General features: G+C 38.5%; 1 protein-coding gene across 7 annotated transcripts in view; it reads left to right on the top strand.

Annotated features, from left to right (window-relative positions):
• UBR5 (ubiquitin protein ligase E3 component n-recognin 5) overlaps positions 1-23338 on the top strand; it is a 160428-nt gene that overhangs the window by 46091 nt on the left and 90999 nt on the right. For all 7 annotated transcript variants that reach the window (NM_001282873.2, NM_015902.6, XM_047421849.1 and 4 more), the window contains 7 exons: positions 4984-5028; positions 5404-5485; positions 5945-6021; positions 6420-6539; positions 19518-19707; positions 20215-20374; positions 21065-21214. In NM_001282873.2, the coding sequence (NP_001269802.1) occupies positions 4984-5028; positions 5404-5485; positions 5945-6021; positions 6420-6539; positions 19518-19707; positions 20215-20374; positions 21065-21214 (824 nt within the window). Of the gene's footprint in view, positions 1-4983; positions 5029-5403; positions 5486-5944; positions 6022-6419; positions 6540-19517; positions 19708-20214; positions 20375-21064; positions 21215-23338 lie in introns of those variants that run through there.

Here is a 23338-nt window from a genome sequence, read left to right as displayed (position 1 = left end):
AAACTATCTTAAATCTGTATATTCACACTGCTCACGTATTTAATTTGAGACGGAAGACCTGGAGAGTTAGTTTTTTTGAGATTAAGATCAGGAACATTTTCTGCCTCTGAAATAAGTTACGTACCAGTAATGTACTTTTTTTCGTTGTTGGAACTGTATCCAGAAAAGCAGAGGGGTAAGGAAAGACTTGGCAAGTTGTATTCTGTCTTTGCTTAGAGTCTGTGAAGACAGTTCGGATAGAAACACAAATGACTAGATATGAGAGAATTTGTAGACTTCTGTAGGAAGGAAATTACAACTACCAGGAAAGGTTCATGGAGGAGGTGGCATTTGAACTGGGTGGGAAATAAGTGGAATGAGACTGAAGGAACTGCACTGGTGGCAGATGATGCCACTTTTGCCATTAACGTGATTGCTGAGAGTCATGAAACATGAGTGGATGTACCTTGTTTAACAGTTCCAAGTATATGGAAACCATCACCTTGTAGAGTATGTGATGTCAGAAATACCTTTCTGTCTTTGAGAATTGAAACCTTTGAAGGTTTAATTATACGTTTTTTTTTTTGCTTTAGAAATTCTGCAAGAAAGGATCTGTCAGGTTTAATCCAGTTTAGGGGTATTTGAACATGCAGATATGTTATATGTTAGAGTTAGGCAGAGAATTATGAAACCGAAGAACCTGTACTTAGTGCTGTTGCCAGTTGAGGATCAGTGAGAAGATAAATTACCTTTGAAATTGTAATGTTAAATTTGGGGAGAATGAGACTGAAATTAGAGGGGATTTAAAGTATAGCAATGAAATATGTTGGCTTCTAGCAAGTACCGTTACACTGTTTTCCTGTCTCTGTTAATTAACATCAGTTTGCTGTTACCTTACTTTGTTGCTTTAAACAAAAATTTCAGCCTCTAGATCTGTAAAGTGATCTATACATTTAAAGGAATGAAATAGTTTATTTAATCAGAATATAGAATAAATGTAGCAAATAGGAGTGTAGAGTACCCAAGGATTGTCAGAAGCTTTTTGCTAACCTATTCATTGTGTGTTACAACCACCTCACCAAAGTTCACCTGTCTACCTATCTATCCTTGAATGAGATTAAATGCTATTATGAGGTTATTTTCTTTGTGTTTTTTTTTTTTTAGACGGAGTCTTGCTCTGTCACCTAGGCTGGAGCACGGTGGCGCGATCTCGGCTCACTGATCCTGGCTCTCTGCCTCCCGGGTTCAAGCGATTCTCCTGCCTCAGCCTCCCGGGTAGCTGGGACTACAGACGTGCACCACCACACCCGGCTAATTTTTGAATTTTTAATAGAAACGAGGCTTAGCCATGTTGGTCAGGCATGTCTTGAACTCCTGACCTCAGGTGATCCGCCCACCTCAGCCTCCCAAAGTGCTGGGATTACAGGCATGAGCCACTGTGCCTGGCCAGTGAGGTTATATTCTAATGTCATGCTGTATTCTTAAAATTGTTTTTCATCATAACCACGTGTAAAAATTTATTCTGAAATGGAATTTGGTGAGCTTCAGTGTGAGTTTCTTTTTATTTTAAAGAGAGGGTAAACTTTTGTTAATACTGCCTATCGTAAACATTGTATGAAGATCCTTTAAAGTAGGTGAATCTCTGTTGTATAGAATAATTAGCAAACTAAAAAAACTTCAGTTTTTTTTTTGGCTAAAGGAGGGGAACAGCATGGATAATTTAGCAAATTTAAACGAATGTTATCACAGGCCTGCAGTGATTCTTTGATTTGCCTGTCTACTGAGGACTCTCTAATGTAAAAGATAATCAAATACTTCTTAAATATAGTTTATTTTTTTGGGGTGAAGATTTATTTGTTACTGTTATCTGGATTCATATAAACTAATTTGTAGGGCCCAGTTTAGTCATAACTCTCTTGAGATTTGAAAGGATGATACATTTTGTGTAAATCTGTGGACTGAATTTAAGAGTTTTTTAAAATTTGATATTTGGGGAAGCAATCTAAATGTCTGTATAAAATCCATTTGAAAGTTTCAAATGGGTACGATAAAAATTGAATATGATAGTGCTATTTCATTGTAAACATTACGTATATATCTTCCATTGATACACTTGCTTTTCATATATTCATAAGCATTTCAGGACTGAGGCTGGGCACTATGTCCCATGCCTGTAATCCCAGCACTTTGGGAGGCCAAGACAAGTAGATCCGTTGAGCCCAGGAGTTTAAGACAAGCCTGGGCAACGTGCTAAAACGCTGTCTCTACAAAAAATACAAAAATTAGCTGGGTGAGATGGTGCGCACCTGTAGTTCTGTTTACTCAGGAGGCTAAGGCGGGAAGATAGATTGAGCCTGGGGGATTGAGGTGGTAGTGAGCCACGATTGGACCACTGCACTCCAGCCTGGGCGACAGAGTGAGACCCAGTCTCAAAAGAGGCAAAAAAACAAAAAATAAGAATTTCAGGAATAAGAATTTTCAGAACCGGAGATGACTAAAAGAGTTCTTCCTCACATAGATGAGAACTTGAGACCTAGTGGACTTTTAGTGAGTCCAGGTAGTAGTAGATGAGCTGGGAGTAAACCCCGGATTTCTTGCTATTCGGTGGCATTGTTTCCAGTACAAATTGATGTGCATTTCAGACATGTATTTCAGATGTGGTTAGGGGTCTCACCAGGACTTTTAAGATTAGAAAATTTAATTGATAGCAGTAACCATTTGTGCTATCTCCCCAGATAGCCTGAAATTCGCTGTTGAGTTCTTGAGTTTAAATATTTTTTAGCATTCTCATATCCTCGAAGCTTACTTTAGTTTTACAAATAATTGTCTGGAATATTTGGAGACGTGGAAACAACATTTAATTCTTAATCTCAGGCATTGTCCGGTTTTGAAAAAGGCCTTGACAATTATTTTTCTCTCCCAATGCTATATATTTTGCGAGAGCTCTGGAGACAAGTTTTGAGCTACTAACAAAGGAATGGAAATGAATGAGTTTAGTTGCATGCCAGTGAACAAGTTATCTTCTGAAAGTGTCACTACTGTGGTTACTCATAGTAAATGTGGACCCGGGGAAGTGAGAGCTCCTGCTGCTTCTTGGGGTCTTCTAAAGGCTGCTGTTACTCTGCAGAGCAGACCCACCCTTGTTTATCTTCTCCCTATTTTCTAGTCAGCCTTCTCTTAGAGCTCATGGGTTCCACAATACATTACCCTTAAGGTGTTTTATCTTGGAACACAGAAGTGTGCTTTGTAAATGGGCAAACTGGAATTCTTTGAAAAAGCTTAACTTTCTTGAACTAATGAAAACATGTTTTGTTAATGGAAGTAAATGCAAAACTGGGCTACAAAAATGAAAATGTATTTTTCTGGGGGCCAAATCACAAATGATCAGATGCTGTTCTTTAGGAGTGAGAATAAGGTCACCAGTAAGTATCTACTTCTTCAGAGAGAAATAAAATATGGCCGCATTTGAAAGTTACTTCAGGCTGGGCGTCATGGCTCACGCCTGTAATCCCAGCGCTTTGGGAGGCCAAGGCAAGTGGATCTATTGAGGTCAGGAGTTTGAGACCAGCCTGGCCCAAATGGCGAAACCCCATCTATACTGAATTACAAAAATTAGCCGGGTGTGGTGGCGGGTACCTGTAATTCCAGCTACTCGGGAGGCTGAGGCACGAGAATCACTTGAACCCAGGAGATGGAGGTTGTAGTGAGCCGAGATCGCACCATTGCACTCCAGCTGGGGCAACAGATCGAGACTCAAAAAAAAAAAAAAGTTATTTCAGTTACTGAATGCAATTCAATATTAGACAGTTACTGTACGCCTTTGAAAGATGCTGTTCACTAGGATGATAGAACTTATAGGATAAAGTTATAGAACAGCTGACTCCTAATTGAATCTCTTACTGAAATAATTAGGTTATTTTCTCTTACTGAAATAATTAAGTTAGATTATATATGCTTTGTGGCAGTTTTTAAGCCCTAAACTGGCTTTAACGTCATTTATTTTTGGAGTATGTATAACATTTTTGTCTGTTAGTACAAATGATTGAAATTTGATTTTATTCATTTTTGTGACTCTTTAGAGAGCAGAATTCATGGACTTTTCTATTGATTTAATGTTCTGATTTTTCCCATTGCTTTCTAAAATTCTCAGTTTACTTTTACAAGAATTATTTCTGGAAAACGGTTTTAAAAGATCAGATCAGGCAGTGTTTTTTTTGATAACTTAATAGAATTGCTTAAAATCTCTGCATTTGATTATATCTTTACATTGTAAAATGACTTTCTTAGGTTGACAAAATACCTAGTTTAATTTAGCTATTATAGTGTTTTACATTCAAGACTGTTTTCTTAAGAGAAACAACAAAATCATAACAGAAAATACAAGTTAATATCTCTTTGTTATGTAGCCCTTTGGGGTTTTTCTAAATCTGTTCAGTACTGTTTTAAATGCTGTTAGAAATGGGAGGTGTTATCCTTACTTTATATAGATAAGGACATTGATGATCTGGTTTGTTCAATTTTGTGCTATAAGACCGTTCAAGAACTTGAGATGATACCTTAAGTCAATTAGGCTTTCTGTTTTCATTTCATGATATCCATGTGCACTCAAGAATCTCTTGACATGGATAACACAGTTTTTTGTTTTGTTTTGTTTTTTTAAACAATTGAGCCTTTGGTTGGGCATTGGTTCAGCTACCAACTTTATGCTACCTTTTCTATAAACTCTAGAAGCTTCAGTTTTCTCACCTGGGATTAATGGGAAAATGGGATTAATACGATTATCATTGTTACTGAGGTTGCAAATGGGGTGGTGAGGGAACGGAATTGCAGAGTCTGCTTGTGATCTTTTCGGGACAAAAATGAAAATATGAAAAACATTCTTACCATAGCAGTTGTTTTGTGTACTACTATTGGAAATTACCAAAATAATGGTACAAGTACCTGTCAGAAGTATTTGTTTACAAAAGATCTGTACACGTGGTTTGTTAATGTTTTGTTTTAAAGGTTACGAGAAGTTTCTGAGAAGCTGAACAAATATAATTTAAACAGGTAAGAGTTTTAAAATATTTAAATCTTCTGACAACAATTTTTCTTTATTAAGAAAAAACTCATTTAGGCGGCAGCCTGATATGATTAAGATTAATGTGATTATTAGACTTTAAGAATCTTTTAATCTGTCAACTTTTTATGGGTTGGGCTTATTTGAATTATAGATTGCATTCATGCTTTTTTTTTTTTAAATCTGGCATACAGGGAGATATAAATGATTATGGAGATATTATTTTTCAATTATTGCTTTAAAGTAAATATTAGTTTAAAAAATAGGTTTTGCCAACTTTTTTTTTCTAATTGTATTTAAGAGTAAACCCTATGATGTATTTACCATTAAAAAATAATTTAACTTTTTCTTTTTTTATCTCTCAGCCACCCCCCTTTGAATGTATTGGAACAGGCTACTATTAAACAGTGTGTGGTGGGACCAAATCATGCTGCCTTTCTTCTTGAGGTAAATTATTCACTCTAAGATACAGAAATGAAAAATAAACTGTTAAAATAGAATTGTGCATCATTGTATCTCTTCCATTATAACAGGAAAACAGCAGTTACTTGAAAGTTATCTTGAAGAGCTCCCAGTTCTCTTTCCTCCTCTGGCCCAGAGAAAGCTTACATGATTTGCCAGAGTGTGAAACTAATTAGTAACAGAATAGGGGAGTCTCCTAAATCCAGTCATTTTCTTACTTTGAATTTTGTCAGATTGAGATGTTGTAAATTATTTTCGACTGGTTTCTTGATAATGTTATGTATGTCATATTTCCCCATCTCAGGTGTAAGCACCTTTTGGAAGGAAGTTTATTTATCGTCTTCTGAATTGACAGTGATGGGCACAGAATCTCTTTGTTGAATAAATTCAAATTTTAATACACATTTTTACTTGGATAATTTTTTCTGTTTTCTTTGCTTTTAGGATGGTAGAGTTTGCAGGATTGGTTTTTCAGTACAGCCAGACAGATTGGAATTGGGTAAACCTGATAATAATGATGGGTAAGATATTATGTCCTTTCTATTTAATATGTATTTAGCTCTTAGGTATTATATTAAACCTGTGTTTTGATTTCGGTAACCCTCAACTTAAAGCATCACAGAAAATTAGATCTTTTAAAACAGTGAAACTATTGCTTTCTAGTTTAATTTTAATCTTTATGCAAGCGATGATTCACAGCCCAAAGTACTAACATTAAAAGTAGCAGAGGAGTCAGTTATCACTTAACAGAAACAGGTTACCAGAAGAATGATATTACGTGTTTAGTAGGTACCAAGTCAAATCTGCTCTTTAACTGAAATGATTTTATAGATCATTTCCAAATTAAGCAATGCAATTTGAAATAACAGGGTTGTAAAAAATGTTGGTCTTCAAAAATTTACCTCTTGCTTTCCCCCAGGTCAAAGTTGAACAGCAACTCGGGGGCAGGGAGGACGTCAAGGCCTGGTAGGACAAGCGACTCTCCATGGTTTCTCTCAGGTTCTGAGACTCTAGGCAGGCTGGCAGGCAACACCTTAGGGTAAGTTGTGGCCAGTTGAAGGCACCATCTTACAGATGGTCTGTATCATCTTCCTGTGAGTGCTCTCAGTCTGAATGATCATCTTCAATATTCTATCTAGTGATGGAGTGAGAAAATTCTCCTGAACTCTGGGCAGGAAGTTCATATTGCTCAGGGTGAGCCACCATGATAAAAATAACTCACACAGGCTAATTACAATTAATCTAGGCTCTTGACCTTTAAAAAATGTATATAATGTTTACATATGTTTATAATGTCACGCCATTTATTTCATTTAAAATTTTAAATGATTTTATCTTTGGTCCTCTCTTACAACTTATTCTTGGTACAACTTATTCTTTGTACTATAACAGCAGAGATGAGTAATTGGGACAGACTAGCCTCCAAAGCATAAACTTATTTATGATTTGGCCCTTTACAGTAAAAGTCTGCTCATCCCAGGTTTTGCTTGTCAATTTATATACTGGCGTTTGTTCCTGATCCTATTTATTTATTTCTGGCATCCAACTCTGGTAGTTCTTTCTGAATCAGTTTAATGAAGTTTGTAAATGATGTAATTAAACGTTATTTATTACTTTTATTTTTTTCTAGAGATAGGGTCTTGCTGTGTTGCCCAGGCTGGTCTTGAACTCCTGGCCTCAAGTGATTCTCCTGCTTTGGCCTCCCAGAGTTTTGGGATTACACGTCTGAGGCATTGCACTCAGACACTTTTATCTAAAGTTTATATACTGTTAAACTAAAGAAACCATATACAAATTTCAAGTCAGGTGCTTTTACTCATTTTATACCTTGATTCTTGAATGGCCAGATTTTCTGAAAATACCCAGTTAATGATTAGATTATGCTACTTCAGTCACCACGTGTTTGAAGGCTGATCACAGAAAACTAGAAGCAATGTAACTAGTTTCAAAATATAATTAAATGGAGGAGGAAGTGTTTGGCTTTTTTCCCTCCAGACCACAAATTGGTAGGTAAAGTAAAAGTTAGATTTGAAAATTGGGCCTGGGTGTGGTGGCTTACACCTCTCAGCACGTTGGGAGGCCAAGGTGAGTGGATCTGTTGAGTCCCAGAGTTTAAGACCAGCCTGGGCAACATGGCAAAATGCCATTTTTACTAAAAATACAAAAATGTAGCTGAATGTGGTGGCGCATGCCTGTAGTCCTAGCTACCCAGGAGGCTGAGGTGGGAGGATCATCTAAGCCCAGGAAGTTGAGGCTGCAGTGAGCCATGATAATGCCACTGTATGCCATCCTGGGCAATGGAAATGAGAGACCCCCGTCTCAAAAAAAAAAAAAAAAAAGAAAAGAAAAGGGTTGTGGGGGGGATACCAAAATGATTACTTTCTTTGCGTTTGTGTTTTCATGCTGAACTAAATTTATTTTAGAATGTGAGGAAAGTTTTTAGTTGAGTACATCCTTTAGCTATACTAAATATAGCTCTTGTCTTTATTAAAATGTTATATGTGCTCTTTTAATGGTCCTAGGCACACAGTATATGATAAAGAATTCTGAAAATAGCATGTAATAACATGAAATTTTATTTCATGTGATAAAACTGAAAAATTTTTGATTATATTTAAGAATAAGTATTACCGGTTATACTGTTGCCAAATAGTACCTTTCTTAAAGATGAACATTTTTTTGTTTAGTTTAAGGATCAGTAAAGTATAGCCTGCATGCCAAATCCAGCCACCCCAGTTTTTATTGAAAGACAGCCATACTTATTATCTGTGGCTGTCTTTGTACTATAACAGCAGAGATGAGTAGTTGGGACAGACTAGCCTCCAAAGCATAAACTATTTATGATTTGGCCCTTTACAGTAAAAGTCTGCTCATCCCAGGTTTTGCTTATCAGTTTATATACTGGCATTTGTTCCTAATCCTATACTCTATTTAGTTTTTATTTTTTAATTTTTAATTTTTTTTGAGACAGAGTCTTGCTCTGTCACCCAGGCTGGAGTGCAGTGGCACAATCTCGACTAACTGCAACCTCCGCCTCCCGGGTTCAAGCAATTCTCCAGCCTCAGCCTCCCAAGTAGCTGGGACTATAGGCGCGTGCCACCACGCCCTCCTAATTTTTGTATTTTTAGTAGAGACAGGGTTTCACCATTTTGGCCAGGTTGGTCTTGAACTCCGGACCTCAGGTGATCCACCCATCTCAGCATCCCAAAGTGCTGGGATTACAGGCCTGAGCCACCGCACCCAGCCTACTCTTATTTATTTTTAAATTTTATTTTTCATTTTGAAATAATTTGACCTTATAAAAAGTTTGCAAAAATAGCACAAATAATTTATGTGTACGTTGCACCCAGCTTCCGTGTTAATGTTTTACATTTACATAATCATATTATCAAAACCAAGAAATTAACATTGATCACTGATTAATATACAGAGTTTATTTAAGTTTCTCCAGTTGTCCACTAATACCCTTTTGTCCAGGATTCAGTCCAGGATCCCAGTTGCATTGAGTTGTCATGCTGCTGCTGCTGCTGCTTTTTTTTTAAATAGAGATAGGATCTTGTTCTGTTGCCCAGGCCAGAGGGCAGTGGCACAATGATAACTCACTATAACCTTGAACTCCTGGACTTAATGCAATCCTCCTGCCTCAGCCTCCCAAGTAGCTAGGATGTAGGTATGGGCCACCACCACACCTGGCTAACTTTTTAAAGTTTTGTAGGTAATTTTTAAATTTTTTGTGGAGACAGGGTCTCTCACTATGTTCCCTAAGCAGCCATGCTTCTTTAGTTTCCTCTAATCTGGGCCAGATCCTCAGTCTTTATCTTTCTGGCCATGATGAGTTTGAAAAACCAGTGGTTATTTTGTAGAATGTTTGGATTTGTTTATCATTTCTCGTGATTAAACTCAAGTGATACATTTTTTGCAAGAATACCACAGAAGTGATGATGTGCCCTTTTCAGTGCATCATATCAGGTGGCATGTGATGTTACTGTTGTTTTATTACTGGAAAGGAGGTGTCCTGTGATTAGTTAAGATGGTGTTTACCTGTTTCTCCACTATAAAGTTACTATTTTCCCATTTTTCTTTAATATGCATTTTGTGGGGAGATACTTTGTGACTCTGCAAATATCCTCTTCCTCATCATACTTTTGCTCACTGAGTTTAGCATTTATTGATGATTCTTTTTTTGTCTGAATCAGTTGTTACTGTGGTGTTGGCCAAATGGTGATTTTTTAAAAAAATTATCATTTCTTTTACATTTATTAATTGGAATTCAACTGTAAGGAAGAACTTTCCCTCCTCTACCCCATTTCTTTATTTGTTTACTTTTTTTATTATTTGTTTATTTTTTTTGAGACGGAGTCTCGCTCTGTCACCCAGGCTGGAGTGCAGTGGCGCGATCTCGGCTCACTGCAAGCTCCGCCTCCTGGGTTCGTGCCATTCTCCTGCCTCAGCCTCTCGAGTAGCTGGGACTACAGGTGCTCACCAACATGCCCAGGTAATTTTTTTGTATTTTTAGTAGAGACAGGGTTTTGCCATGTTGGCCAGGACGGTCTCGATCTCCTGACCTCGTGATCCAACTGCCTCGGCCTCCCAAAGTGCTGGGATTACAGGCCTGAGCCACTGCACCCGGCCCATTATTTATTTATTTATCTATCTAATTTGAGACAGAGTCTCCCTCTGTCACCCAGGCTGGAGTGCAGTGGCATGATCTCAGCTCACTGCAACCTCTGCTTCTGGGTTCAAGTGATTCTCGTGCCTCAGACTTCTGAGTAGCTGTAATTACAGGCGCCCACCACCACGCTTGACTAAGTTTTGTATTTTTAGTAGAGACAGGGTTTCACCATGTTGGCCAGGCTGGCCTTGAACTCCTGACCTCAAGTGATCTCCTTGCCTTAGCCTCCCAAAGTGCTAGGATTACAGGTGTCAGCCACCGCGCCTGGCCTTATTTTTTATTCTATTTATTTCTTTTTCTCTTATGTTATTTACATCATTATAGTCTCATGGATATTTGTTTTATTCTCCAGTTTATAACCCATTTCTCTTATTATGTTGCTCAAATTGTCTTAGGCTTAAATCCTCTTAAAACTTGGAAATAACCAATTATAATAGAATGTATGACAGAATGACTAAAGTAGGATGGTAGAATTTTGTGACTTTGTTAATAAAAATATACAACAAATATAATAATGTTTGAATAAAACCTCTGTAGACCTACTCTGAAGAAGATTAGGGCTAATTTTAAGACTTTAAAATGCAGACAGAATCCTTAGTTTTCTGAGTCCCCTTACCCATTTCTTACACTCCCCGTAAACCCCTCTTTGTGCCTCTGTTCTCTCTGCCAGAACAGACTGTGTAAGCGTTCTTTAAGCATTAGGTCCATGATTGCAATACTGTAAAATGTCATAGTGCCTCCTGACCAACTTGATGCCAGTGATTTGTTTACTTATATTTGAGTTTGCAGATGTTTACAAAGTATAAGCAGTTAAATTCTGATTGTTTCTCTTGGGCTGTATGAAAAATCTTTGCAGTTTGTTGAAGGTGAAATTGTGATTAAGTTATTTTGTAAATCAAATTTTTTTTTTACAGTCACACATATTTTCCTTTATAGTAAATGTGTTTCCTTGATTTGTACATTGCTCTTTTTTTTTTTTTTTCAATTTCTGTGTTAATTACAATTAACTTTAGAGAAGCTTGCAATTTATAACATGTATTGGGGAATCTAGGACAGGCAAATCTTGTGTCCTCAAAGGGGAGTCTTTAAACCACAGATTTACCAAATACAATGCAATATGAAAGAGACTGTCCCCAGAGACCTTGGTCCTCACTCCTGTCCTGCAGAGTCTAGGCCTGCTCACTTTTGCTGCTGGGAGTTGTCCTGGATCAGGAAGTGAATAGTCTCTTTGAGAGCCACATTTTTAAAGAGTTTGGGATTATTGGTACAGTTTTTTAGCATGGATTTTTTTTTTTTTTTTTTTTTTTTGAGAGACAGGATCTCCCTCTGTTGCCCAGGCTGGATTGCAGTCATGTGATCTTGACCCACTGCAGCCTTGACTTCGCAGCCTCAAGTGTTCCTCCCACCTCAGCCTCCCAAATAGCTAGGACTACAGGCATGCCCCACCACACCCTGCTAATTTTTGTATTTTTGGTAGAGCAGGGTTTTGCCATGTTGCCCAGGCTGGTCTTTAACTCCTGACCTTGAACAGTCTGCCTGCCCCAACTTCCCAAAGTGCTGAGGTAACAGGCATGAGCCACTATGCCCGGCCAGCATGGATAATTGAGAATTGATCATTTATTTTGACTGATTATTTTTAGGAATACATACTGATCCATTTAATGTTTTTTCCTTAGAAGATTTTGCTAATTGTCAGATTTGTGTGCTAAAGATTTCTAGCTGCTACTGTTTTCTTTCTTTAGTAATTACTTCAAGTTTATCCTGCAAGGTATTTCAAAAATCTCCTAGGTATTTTTTTTAAACTCATTTTAAACCAGCTTAAGGGTAAGAGCACCAGATTTATTTGGGGTAGAGAAGGGAGTTTATTTTTGTTTAATAAATAGTAAGGTGAAAATGGACCTGTATCGAAAGTTCCTATTCTGTTACTTGTGACCGTTGAACAATAGATGATAGGTATAAGCTGCTTTTCGTTGATTTGAGCTACCATATTCCTTTAGGGTTTAATCTGAGCTAATAGTACGTGAATTGAAATGTATAATTTTACTTGCAAATAGTTGAAGGCCCCCTTCAGGTGGGTAAGACAGTTTGTAGCAGGATTCTGACAAACTGGATTCCCCATTTTTCAAGGAGGCTGCTGGTAAACTGGTTTTGTCTATAGGAGAATACAGGGCCATGGTTGGCAAATTCAAATCCTTGTGTCCCTCCCTGCCTTATTTTGTCCCAAGAAAACCTGCAAATCTGGATTGTGTGATAATCTCTTATCTTAAATGTTGGGACTAATTGATATTTTCATGGAAATAAATATACACATACACACAGTCACATCATTCAGACTTGTGTGTGCATACATGTTATGTACATTTTAAAAATAAACTATTTTAGGATAGGGTTTTTTTTTTTTTTTTTTGAGACAGGATCTGGCTCTGTCACCCGGGTTGGAATGCAGTGGCATGATTTTGGCTTATTGCAGCCTCCGCCTCCTGGGCTCAAGCCATTCTCCTACCTCAGCCTCTCAAGTAGCTGGGACTACAGGCATGCACCACCATGCCCAGCTAATTATTTTTTTGTGGAGACTGGGTTTTGACAGGTTGCCCAGGCTAGTCTTGATCTCCTGAGCTCAAGATCTGCCCATCTTGGTCTCTCAAAGTTCTGGAATTACAGGCGTGAACCCAGCCTATGGTTTTAGATTGACAAAATTTCAAACATCATACTGAGAGTTCCCATGTACCCCATGTCTAGTTTCCAATATTATTAAAATCTAATGTTAGTATGGTACATGTGTTACAATTAATGAGTGGTGATACTAAAGTCATCCATAGGTTATTCACATTTCCTTAGTTTTTCATAATGCCCTTTTTCTGTTCTAAGATCCCATCCAGGATTCCACTTTATATTTAGTCACCCTTTCTCATTAGATTCCTCTTGACTGTGACCGTTTCTCAGACTTTTCCTTGTTTTTGATGATAAATACACATTTTAAACCAGCCACCTATATGGACAAGACTTGGCCCATGGGCTTTAAGTTTGCAAGCTGTGGACTAATTCCATACTAGGTATGATATCCTTAGTTCATTTTGAGTCATTCTGTGTACCTTGAGAACTGTATAACGGGATCAAAATTGTAGGATTAATTTGATAAGCAAACCACAGAAAGTAGAAACAGGTTTTCCCAGTACTTGTTAGTTTAATATTAAAAATTATGTTGCTCACTGTAATTATAGATAAAAGGAATCAACTGATTCCAGTACTGTCTTTTGTGACTACCAATAGACCTCTATTAGAATATGCTTAGTTTAACACATTAATCTTTATATAGATAGTGAGCTGGTTAGAGGAATGTTAATGGCGATTGACGTACGGGGACTGGTAGGTGGTTTGGATTCTGATAGGAGAAAACACTGCACACAGCAGGCCAGAGTGGGAATACCTGTATTCTCTATGGTAACAGTCAGGTGAATGGAGAAACTGGAGAGATATTTTGACGGTTGTCTTTAAACTCAATGGAGGGCTTGTGTAGCAGAGATTGTAAACTGGCAGCTGCTGGTGGTGTAATGGATTAAATCAGCAGTGCTTATAGAAAAGAATTTGAGTGTTTTTAGATAGGCAGATAGTCTCCTGTCTTCCCTGTTATCTTGGCTTCCCTTGTTTACGTAGCTTATCTACCTCTCATGGAGATATGAGTTTGAGATACTTGTAAGGTCTGCCCAGGAGCAGATGTGTACTTGGATACTATTTCTGATCAGGCTTGTAATAGTACTTGCTTGTGGAAAAAAATGGTGATGCATTTCTTAGTGAAAATATGGAGTCTTCCCTTTAATCTGTGATGGCCATATAATTTATTGTCTGAACAGGGACGTTTTTGAGTGAAATTAATAGTTAGGCTTAGCCAATAGGCTTAAACTGGCACTATCATAGGCAAACTGGTATATATAGTTATAATTATATCATTTTAAGGCTCTTTAATGTGGTTTTTCCTGTTTTCACATTGAAATAATTTACATATTTAGCTCTTGAATGTTTTTAAAAATGACTGAAGATAGTTTTTCCTGAAAGACTTAGTTTTTAAAACTCATAGGAAACTATGAAGTAAAAGTGCTGATTTAATAGTTGATTTTTGTTGTTGTTGTTGGAGACAGAGTCTCACTCTGTCACCCAGGCTGGAGTGCAGTGGTGCGATCTTGGCTCACTGCAACCTCTGCCTCCTGGGTTCAAGTGATTCTCCTGCCTCAGTCCCCCCAAGTAGCTGAGACTACAGGCACCCACCACCAAACCTGGCTAATTTTTATATTTTTCGTAGAGCTGGGGTTTCACCAGGTAGGCTAGGCTGGTCCCGAACTCCTGACCTCAAGTGATCCGCCCATCTCAGCCTCCCAAAGTGCTGGGATTACAGGTGTGAGCCACCACACCCAGCCAATAGTTGATTTTTAATTTTAAAAACAATTTAAAAACTTATTTTAGAGACAGAGTCTCACTCTGCCACCCAGCCTGTAGTGCAGTAGTGTGTTGATAGCTCACCACAGCCTCAATTTCCTGGGCTCAAGCAGTCCTCCTGCCTCAGCCTTCTAAGTAGCTGGGACTGTAGGCGCACAAGTAGTTGATTAGTAGTTGATTTTATTCCCTATTTGTGTTTCATTCGTTCTTTGTTGTTTTCTGATGCATAATTGTTTTAATATATAACTTGAAAAGAAAACATGTCTACTTTCTAGAGTAGTACTTTAATACAACTTCAGTTTTAAGTGAATTTAAAATTTAATTGTAAAACCATAAAATTTACCATTATAAGCATTTTTAAGTATATACAGTTTAGTAGTGTTAAGTATGTCCACACTGTTGTTGTGAAACAGCTTTCTAGAACTTTTTCATCTTGTGAAGTTGGAACTTTATACCCGTTAAATAACAAGAGCTCTTTTTTTCTCTCCCTCTAGTCCCTGGCAGCCACCAATTCTACTTTGTTTCTGTGAATGTCTATTTAAGATGCCTCATATAAGTGGAACCACTGAGGTTTTTTTTGTGTGTGTGTGTGTGACAGGCTTATTTCAGTTATCATAATGTTTTGAAAGTTCATCCATGTTGTAGCATGTGATAGGATTTCCTTTTAAAAGCTGAATAATATTCTATTGTATGTATGTATCACCTTTTGTTGGACATTTGGGTAGCTTCTACCACTTGGCAATTGTGAATGATGCTGCTTTGAACATGGGTTTGCAAGTATCTCTTTAAGACCCTGGTTTCAATTCTTTCGAATATATACCAGACATGCAATTGCTGGATCATATGGTAGTTCTTTTAATGTTTTGAGGAATCTCCATATTGTTTTCCGAAAGTGGTTGTTCCGTTTTACAATCCCACCAACAGTGCACATGGGTTCCAGTTTCTACACATACTCGCAACACTTGTAATTTTTTTTTTCTTGATAGTAGCCATCCTAATCAGCATTAGTTAATCTCTTGTTGTAGTTTGGTTTGGATTTCTCTGATGATTAATGGTGTTAAACATCTTTTCATTTGCTTGTTGGCCATTTATATATCACGTTTGGAGAAATATCATTTCACGTCCTTTGCCCATTTTTTAATTAGGCTATTTAATTTTTTTTTGGTTGAGTTGTAGGAGTTATTTATATATTCTGGATATTATCCTCTTATCAGATATATGATTTGCAAATATTTTCTCTCATTCTGTAGGTTGTCTGTTGATTGTGTCCTTTGATACACAGAGTTTTAAAGTTTGATGTGCTGTTTGTTTATTTTTGCTTTTGTTGCCTGTGTTTTTTTGGCATCATATCTAAGCAATAATCACCAAGTCCATGAAGCTTTTCCCTTATGTTTCCTTCTAGGAGTTTTATCGTTTTAGGTCTTTAATTCATTTTTTGTTAATTTTTGTATATAATGTAAGATAAGGGTTCAACTTCATTCTTTTGCATGTGGATATCCACTTTTCCCAGCACCACTTGTTGAAGAGACTATTTTTTTTTCCCCTAAGTGGTCTTATCACCTGTGTAAGATAATTTGGCGATATATAGGAGGGTTTATTTCTGGGTTCCATTTTGTTTCATTGGTCTTTTTTGTCGTTATGCCCATACCCATACTGTTTTAAATACTTCAGCTTTGTTATATGCTTTGAAATTGTGAAGTGTGAATCCTTCAACTTTGTTCTTTTTCCAAACTGTTTTGGCTGTCTGGGCTTGCCTCAGATTCCATGTGAATATTTAGGGACAAACTTTTCAATTCTTTTTTTGTTTTGTTTTGTTTTTAAGACAGGGTTTTGCTCTGTTACCCAGGCTGGAGTGCAGTGGCACAAACATGGATGGCTCACTGAAGCCTTGACCTATTGGGCTCAAGCTTTCTGCCTGCCTCAGTCTCCTGCATAGCTGAGACCATTGACACGTTCCACCATGCCTGGCTAATGTTTTGATTTTTTTTGTAGAGACAGGTCTCAATGTGTTGCCAGGGCTGTTCCAGAACTCCTGGGCTCAAGTGATCCTCCCGCCTTGGCCTCCAGCGATCCTCCCGCCTTTGCTTGCCAAAGTGCTGGGATTACAGACATGAGCCACTATGCCCAGCCAATTTTTTTATTTGTTAAAGAAGAAAAGCCATTGGGATTTTGATAGGGATTGTGTTGAATGCTTTGGGTAGGGTAGACCTCTTAGCAATATTCGGTCTTTCAATTCATGAACCCAAGATACTTTTCTTATCTGTGTCATCTTTAAATTTCTTTCAGCAGTGTTTTTTACTTTTCAGTGTATAAGTCTTAGGTTTTATTCCTAAGTAGTTTGTTTTTTTTTGACGCTACTGTTAAGTGGGGCTTGTTTTCTTTTTTCTTTCTTCTCCTCTCCACTTGGCTCTCTCTCCCTTCCTGTCCTCTTTCCCCCTTTGCTCTTCTCTCTCCCCTCTCCCCTCCCTTTCTCTCCTCTTGTCTCTTTCTGTGAGACAGAGTCTTGATCTGTAGCCAAGGCTGGAGTGCAGTGGCACAATCATGGCTCACTGCAGCCTCCGCCTCCTGGGCTCAAGCCATCCTCCCACTTCAGCCTCCCTGCTGGGACTACACGTGAGTGCCACCATGGCTGGCTAATTTTTTTATTTTTTGTAGAGATGGGGTCTTGCCATGTTGCCTAGGCTGATTTCAAACTTCTGGGCTCAGGTGATCCTCCCTCTTGGGCCTTCCAAAGTGTTGGGATTACAGGTGTGGGCTACCACGCCCAGCCTGGATTGTTTTTTTAATTTCCTTTTTTTGTTGATGTAATGTGCTTTTAATGAAGCCCCTTTGTTTTTCATCTGGCCTATGAATAGTTATTTAAACATGACATTTACTAGCTGAAATAAATGCTGTTTCATACTGCAGCCTTGAGGATGCATTATATTGCTTTTCTCCAAAGTTATCTTGGGCAGTTCTTAGGCTATAGATACAGATACTGCATAAACATGAATTGGTAGTGTGCATCAGCAAGTACAGAAGCTCGTCAAAAGGATGACAACAGCTTTTCTAGGTTTATTTTTTCATTTTACTGAGGAAACTATTTAAACAGTTTTTTATTTAGCCAGAGATTGGGCTTTCCAGTCAAGTGAGAGGAGAAACCATGGAAATTTGATGTATATTGATTTGAGAATCATTATTGGTTAATGTATTCCAAACTTTTTAAGGGGGGAAATGGTTTGGAAAATCAAATTGAAATGAAATCTGTTTGCATTGGGAGTTTGAAGGTTTCAGCCTTAGGCGAGTACGGTAGGAACTGAGAGTAAAATACCTCTCTCTAGGTCATATGATCTCCAATTATTAGATTCATTTTGAAGAGAAAAGACACTGCCCTAATTTAAAAAGCTGAAGTGACTTGTGTGACCATTTTCTTTAAGATGTGATTAAGTACAGAAGGCAATCATGGTTATCTAGATGACTTGATTTAATCTTCTTGATGTTCATGTTTGGACAGTAAGAGAAGATGTAGATGTCATGCCCTTTCTAAGTTGTTTTCTCATAAGAAAAAATTAACTTATTTAAATAGCAGCTTTCTCTTGGACAAGGTGGTTGATAGTGCTGAATATTAATGCAGTACTATCTCAGCAAATGAATGTTTATTTCATGTGAAGCACTTTGAATTCTAAACTCTGAATTTTACTTTTTGTGTAACAGTGTTGGTAGTTAAGTCTGATAGGTCTTTCATGCAAAGGCAAGATGTGTTCATTTTATTTCATTTAATTAATTAATTTATTTATTTTTGAGACAGAGTCTCGCTCTGTTGCCCAGGCTGGAGTGCAGTGGCGCGATCTCGGCTCGCTGCTACCTCTGCCTCCTGGGTCCTGGTTCAAGCAGTTCTTCCTCAACCTCCCGAGTAGCTGGGATTACAGGCACGTGCACCATGCCCAGCTAATTTTTGTATTTTTAATAGAGACAGGGTTTCTCTATGTTGGCCAGGCTAGTCTTGAACTCCTGACCTCGTGATCCACCTGCCTTGGCCTCTCAAAGTGCTGGGATTACAAGGCATGAGCCACCATGCCTGACCAATGTGTTCATTTTATAGTTGTGATTAGAAATACATAGGTGGCTTTAAAAAATTATTTTCGCAGCGCTTTGGGAGGCCACGGTGGGTGGATCACCTGAGGTTGGGAGTTCGAGACTAGCCTGACCAATATGGTGAAAACCCATCTCTACTAAAAATATGAAAATTAGCCAGGCTATGGTGGCCCTCACCTGTAATCCCAGCTACGCAGGAGGCAGAGGCGGAGGTTGCAGTGAGCCGAGATCGTGCTACTGCAACCCCAGCTTGGGCGACAGAGGGAGACCCTGTCTCAAAAAAAAAAGTTTTTTTAAGGATCCAAAAGTGTGATGTTTATCTTTATAAAAAGTGAAGTTATATTTAAGCATTAAAAAATTGGAATTGGGCATGGTAGTACACACCTGTAATCCTAGCTGCTCAGGAGGCTGAGACAGGAAGATTGAGCCCGGGAGTTTTGAGACTAGCCTGGGCAACATAGCAAGACCTCATCTCAAAAACACAAAAAAATTGGGACACTTGTCAGGTATGGTAGTGCGTGCCTATAATCCCCAGCTACTAGGGAGGCTGAGGCAGGAGGATCACTTCAGCCCAGGAGTTCTGGGCTGTAGTGTACTTTGTACTTGTGAATAACCAGTGCTCTCCAGCCTGGGTGACATAGCAAGACCCCATTTCTTTAAAAAACAGTATTATTATTTTAAAGCTCAGTTCTATTACCTTATTCTTTTGTCACAACACTATGTAACATGTTATGTCAATTAGACAGATAACTTTATCTTAGCTGAAAATAATAATAATGAAAACCAAGCAATCAGAATGATTGTTTAAAATGCTAATTTTATAAATTCTCCAATATTTAGAAGCCGCTGGAGTTCTGGAGTGGGTGGAAGTGGTGGAGGATCCTCTGGTAGGTCATCAGCTGGAGCTCGAGATTCCCGCCGGCAGACTCGAGTTATTCGGACAGGACGGGATCGAGGGTCTGGGCTTTTGGGCAGTCAGCCCCAGCCAGTTATTCCAGCATCTGTCATTCCAGAGGAGCTGATTTCACAGGTATGGATCTCGTAGAACACTTAATGTCAGACAACAGGACAAGGTGAGGTTTTACTGAATATGGTGGGTTGTAGTCATGACTCATATCATGAGTTCTGAAACAACTGTTTTCCTATTTTGATCCTAGAAAACTTTTTTTTTTTCCTTTGAGAGGGAGTCTCACTCTGCTGCCCAGGCTGGAGTACAGTGGCATGATCTCAGCTCACTGCAACCTCCGTCCCCTGAGTTCAAGCAATTCTCATGCCTCAGCCTCCCGAGTAGCTGGAATTAATGGGTGTGCACCACCACACCCAGCTAATTTTTGTATTTTTTAGTAGAGACGGGGTTTCACCATGTTAGCCAGGCTGGTCTTGAACTACTGACCTCAGGTGATCCGCCCACCTTGGCCTCCCGAAGTGCTGGGATTACAGGCTTGAGCCACCACATCCTGTCCTAGAAAGCTGATTTTGATAAAGAATTTAATCAAAAGAAAATTACCATAGCACTTCTTTTTATTTTTTATTTCAGGCCCAAGTTGTTTTACAAGGCAAATCCAGAAGTGTCATTATTCGAGAACTTCAGAGAACAAATCTTGATGTGAACCTTGCTGTAAATAATTTACTTAGCCGGGATGATGAAGATGGAGATGATGGGGATGATACAGCCAGCGAATCTTATTTGCCTGGAGGTTGGTGGATCACCGTCATGTTTTTCTCATTTCTGGAGTGCTCTTTCGACTGGGGAGTGGAATTTAAAGCACAATAGACTTTTCTGAATATTCTTTTCAAGGTGGTAGATATTTTTCACTGTAGAGTTGCTTGATTTTATTGTAAAGTTTCTTTTATTTTTTTCTTTTCTTTTTTGAGACGGAGCCTTGCTTTGTTACCCAGGCCGGAGTGCAGTGGCATGATCTCGGCTCACTGTAAGCTCTGCCTCCTGTGTTCATGCCATTCTCCTGCCTCAGCTTCCCGAGTAGCTGGGACTACAGGCGCCCGCCACCACGCCTGGCTAATTTTTTGTATTTTAGTAGAGACGGGGTTTCACCATGTTAGCCAGGATGGTCTTGATATCCTGACCTTGTGATCCGCCTGCCTCAGCCTCCCAAAGTGCTGGGATTACAGATGTGAGCCACCGTGCCCGGCCACAAGTGTTATATCTTAACGAGTGATCTTTCTTGTGATTATGTAGTAAGTAGCTCAGGCGACATTTATGCATTTGATGTTCTTTAAAATCTTTGTTAATAATGTAGGTTGTTGTGTTTTTCCTCAGGCGATGTCATTCCCTAGTTTTTAAATGTATGTGAATTTTTAGAGCTCTTTCAGCAGTCTACAGTTGCTCTTTGTGTGTATGCTGCAGTGATGTTTGTTTCTGTTTATAGAGGATCTTATGTCTCTCCTTGATGCCGACATTCATTCTGCCCACCCAAGTGTCATTATTGATGCAGATGCCATGTTTTCTGAAGACATTAGCTATTTTGGTTACCCTTCTTTTCGTCGTTCATCACTTTCCAGGCTAGGCTCATCTCGAGGTAATTTTGCATTTATTTATATATTTATTTTGGTCACAGGCTAGCTGTATGGAAAGATAGTGGTAGAATCTACTGACTGTATTTGAACTTCTAATATTACAGTTATTATTAGTTTTTTATGAATGCATTAGCATTAAAATTAATTATTTTTTATTTTGAAGAGCCACAATAGTATTTTAGAGTTGATCCTATTTACGTTGTGGAATTGATGTCAAGGACTATGACTTCACCTAAATGTATTTTTAATTAGGAATATGGATTCTGAACTAAAAGCAGAATTCTACTTTACAGTGACATGCAGCATTCAGAAAACAAGTCTTAGTTTATTTGGTTAAAATAAGTGATCTGTTTATTTTAAATCCTGGTTAGATAAAATAATGAAATGTGAAAAAACTTACTAGAATGGATTTAGGACCAATATTAAATGAATAGAAATGTTTAGTTTATTAGAATGCCTTTTTTTTTTGGGGATGAAGTCTCACTCTGTTGCCCAGGCTGGAATGCAGTAGTACGATCTCGGCTCACTGCAGCCTCCACCTCCTGGGTTCAAGAGATTCTCCTGCCTCAGCCTCCTGAGTAGCTGAAATTACAGGTGCCTGCCACCATGTCCAGTTAATTTTTGTATTTTTAGTAGAGACGGGGTTTCACCATGTTAGCCAGGCTGGTCTTGAACTCCTGACCTCAGGTGATCCGCCTGTCTCAGCCTCCCAAAGTTTTGTGATTACAAGCATGAGTCACTGCGCCCAGCCTAAAATGCTATTTTCAAAAGTTTGAGGCCGGTGCAGTGGCTCACGCCTGTAATCCCAGCACTTTGGGAGGCCAAGGTGGGTGGATCACGAGGTCAGGAGATTGAGACCATTCTGGCTAACACAGTGAAACCCCATCTCTGCTAAAAAAAAAAAAATACAAAAACAATTAGCCAAGCATGGTGGCAGGCGCCTGTAGTCCCAGCTGCTCGGGAGGCTGAGGCAGGAGAATGGCATGAACCCGGGAGGAAGAGCTTGCAGTGAGCTGAGGTGGTACCACTGCACTCCAGCCTGGGAGACAGAGTGAGACTCCGTCTCAAAAAAAAAAAAAAAAAAAAAAGTTTGAAATCCTTAAAAGTTAACAGTACATGGTAGAGGTTAGAAAGATTTTGAAATAATTAATCCTGCCTTTCTCTGTATATGTTTGTGTATGGCTTGTTTACATTATAATTGTCAATATTTTTACTTTCCAGAATGTAAAACTACTTGATTCAGATAACAGAAATTGGCTGTATTTACTGATCTTTAAACTGGACAGTGTGTCATGTTATATTAAGAGCTTGCTGCATATACTTTTAGTACTTAGGAATAAAGTTTTAAAATAACAGATCTGTGGTGATCTTTTAATATATTGAATGCACTATGTAATAGTGTTATGAATTTAAAAATAAATGCATACTTTACTGCCTTAAATGTGTCAAGTAATATATTTTCAAATATTCCATATCTAACATAAATAACTCCTTTAAAGGTCTCTTCCCATGTTCTCCCCCCTGCCCACCCCCCCCTTTTTTTTTTGAGACGGAGTTTCGCTCTTGTTGCTCAGGCTGGAGTGCAATGGTGTGATCTTGGGTCACTGCAATCTCTGCCTTCCCGGTTCAAGTGATTCTCCTGCCTCAGTCTCCCAAGTAGCTGAGATTACAGGCATTCGCCACCACACCAGGCTAATTTTGTATTTTTAGTAGAGACAGGGTTTCACCATCTTGGTCAGGCTGGTCTTGAACTCCTGACCTCAAGTGACCCACCCACCTCGGCCTCCCAAAGTGCTGGGCTTACAGGTGTGAGCCACCATACCTGGCCAAATGTCTCTTTTCCTATGTTCATCCTATGTAGGCATTACTTTTAGTTTGAACCATATGGAATAGCTAATACTTGACCACTTTTGACCTATATATGGTAATTTTGTATAGTTCAATTTATTGTTTCTAATCCTTATTTATCCTAGTCTTAGAGAGTTTATTTGGATTACGTTCTTTAAAAAGTAATGTATGAGCAACTTCAGAAAAACTGGCTTTAGATAGTTTGTAGGCCAATAGCCATGGGAAGCATTTTGGTAAGGAAATCATTTTATAAAGATTATTTTTAAAAAAAAGCCTGT

This window comes from Homo sapiens, chromosome 8 (assembly GCF_000001405.40).
Source record: "Homo sapiens chromosome 8, GRCh38.p14 Primary Assembly".
Taxonomy (NCBI): domain Eukaryota; kingdom Metazoa; phylum Chordata; class Mammalia; order Primates; family Hominidae; genus Homo; species Homo sapiens.
This window is presented reverse-complemented; position numbering and strand designations above follow the sequence as displayed.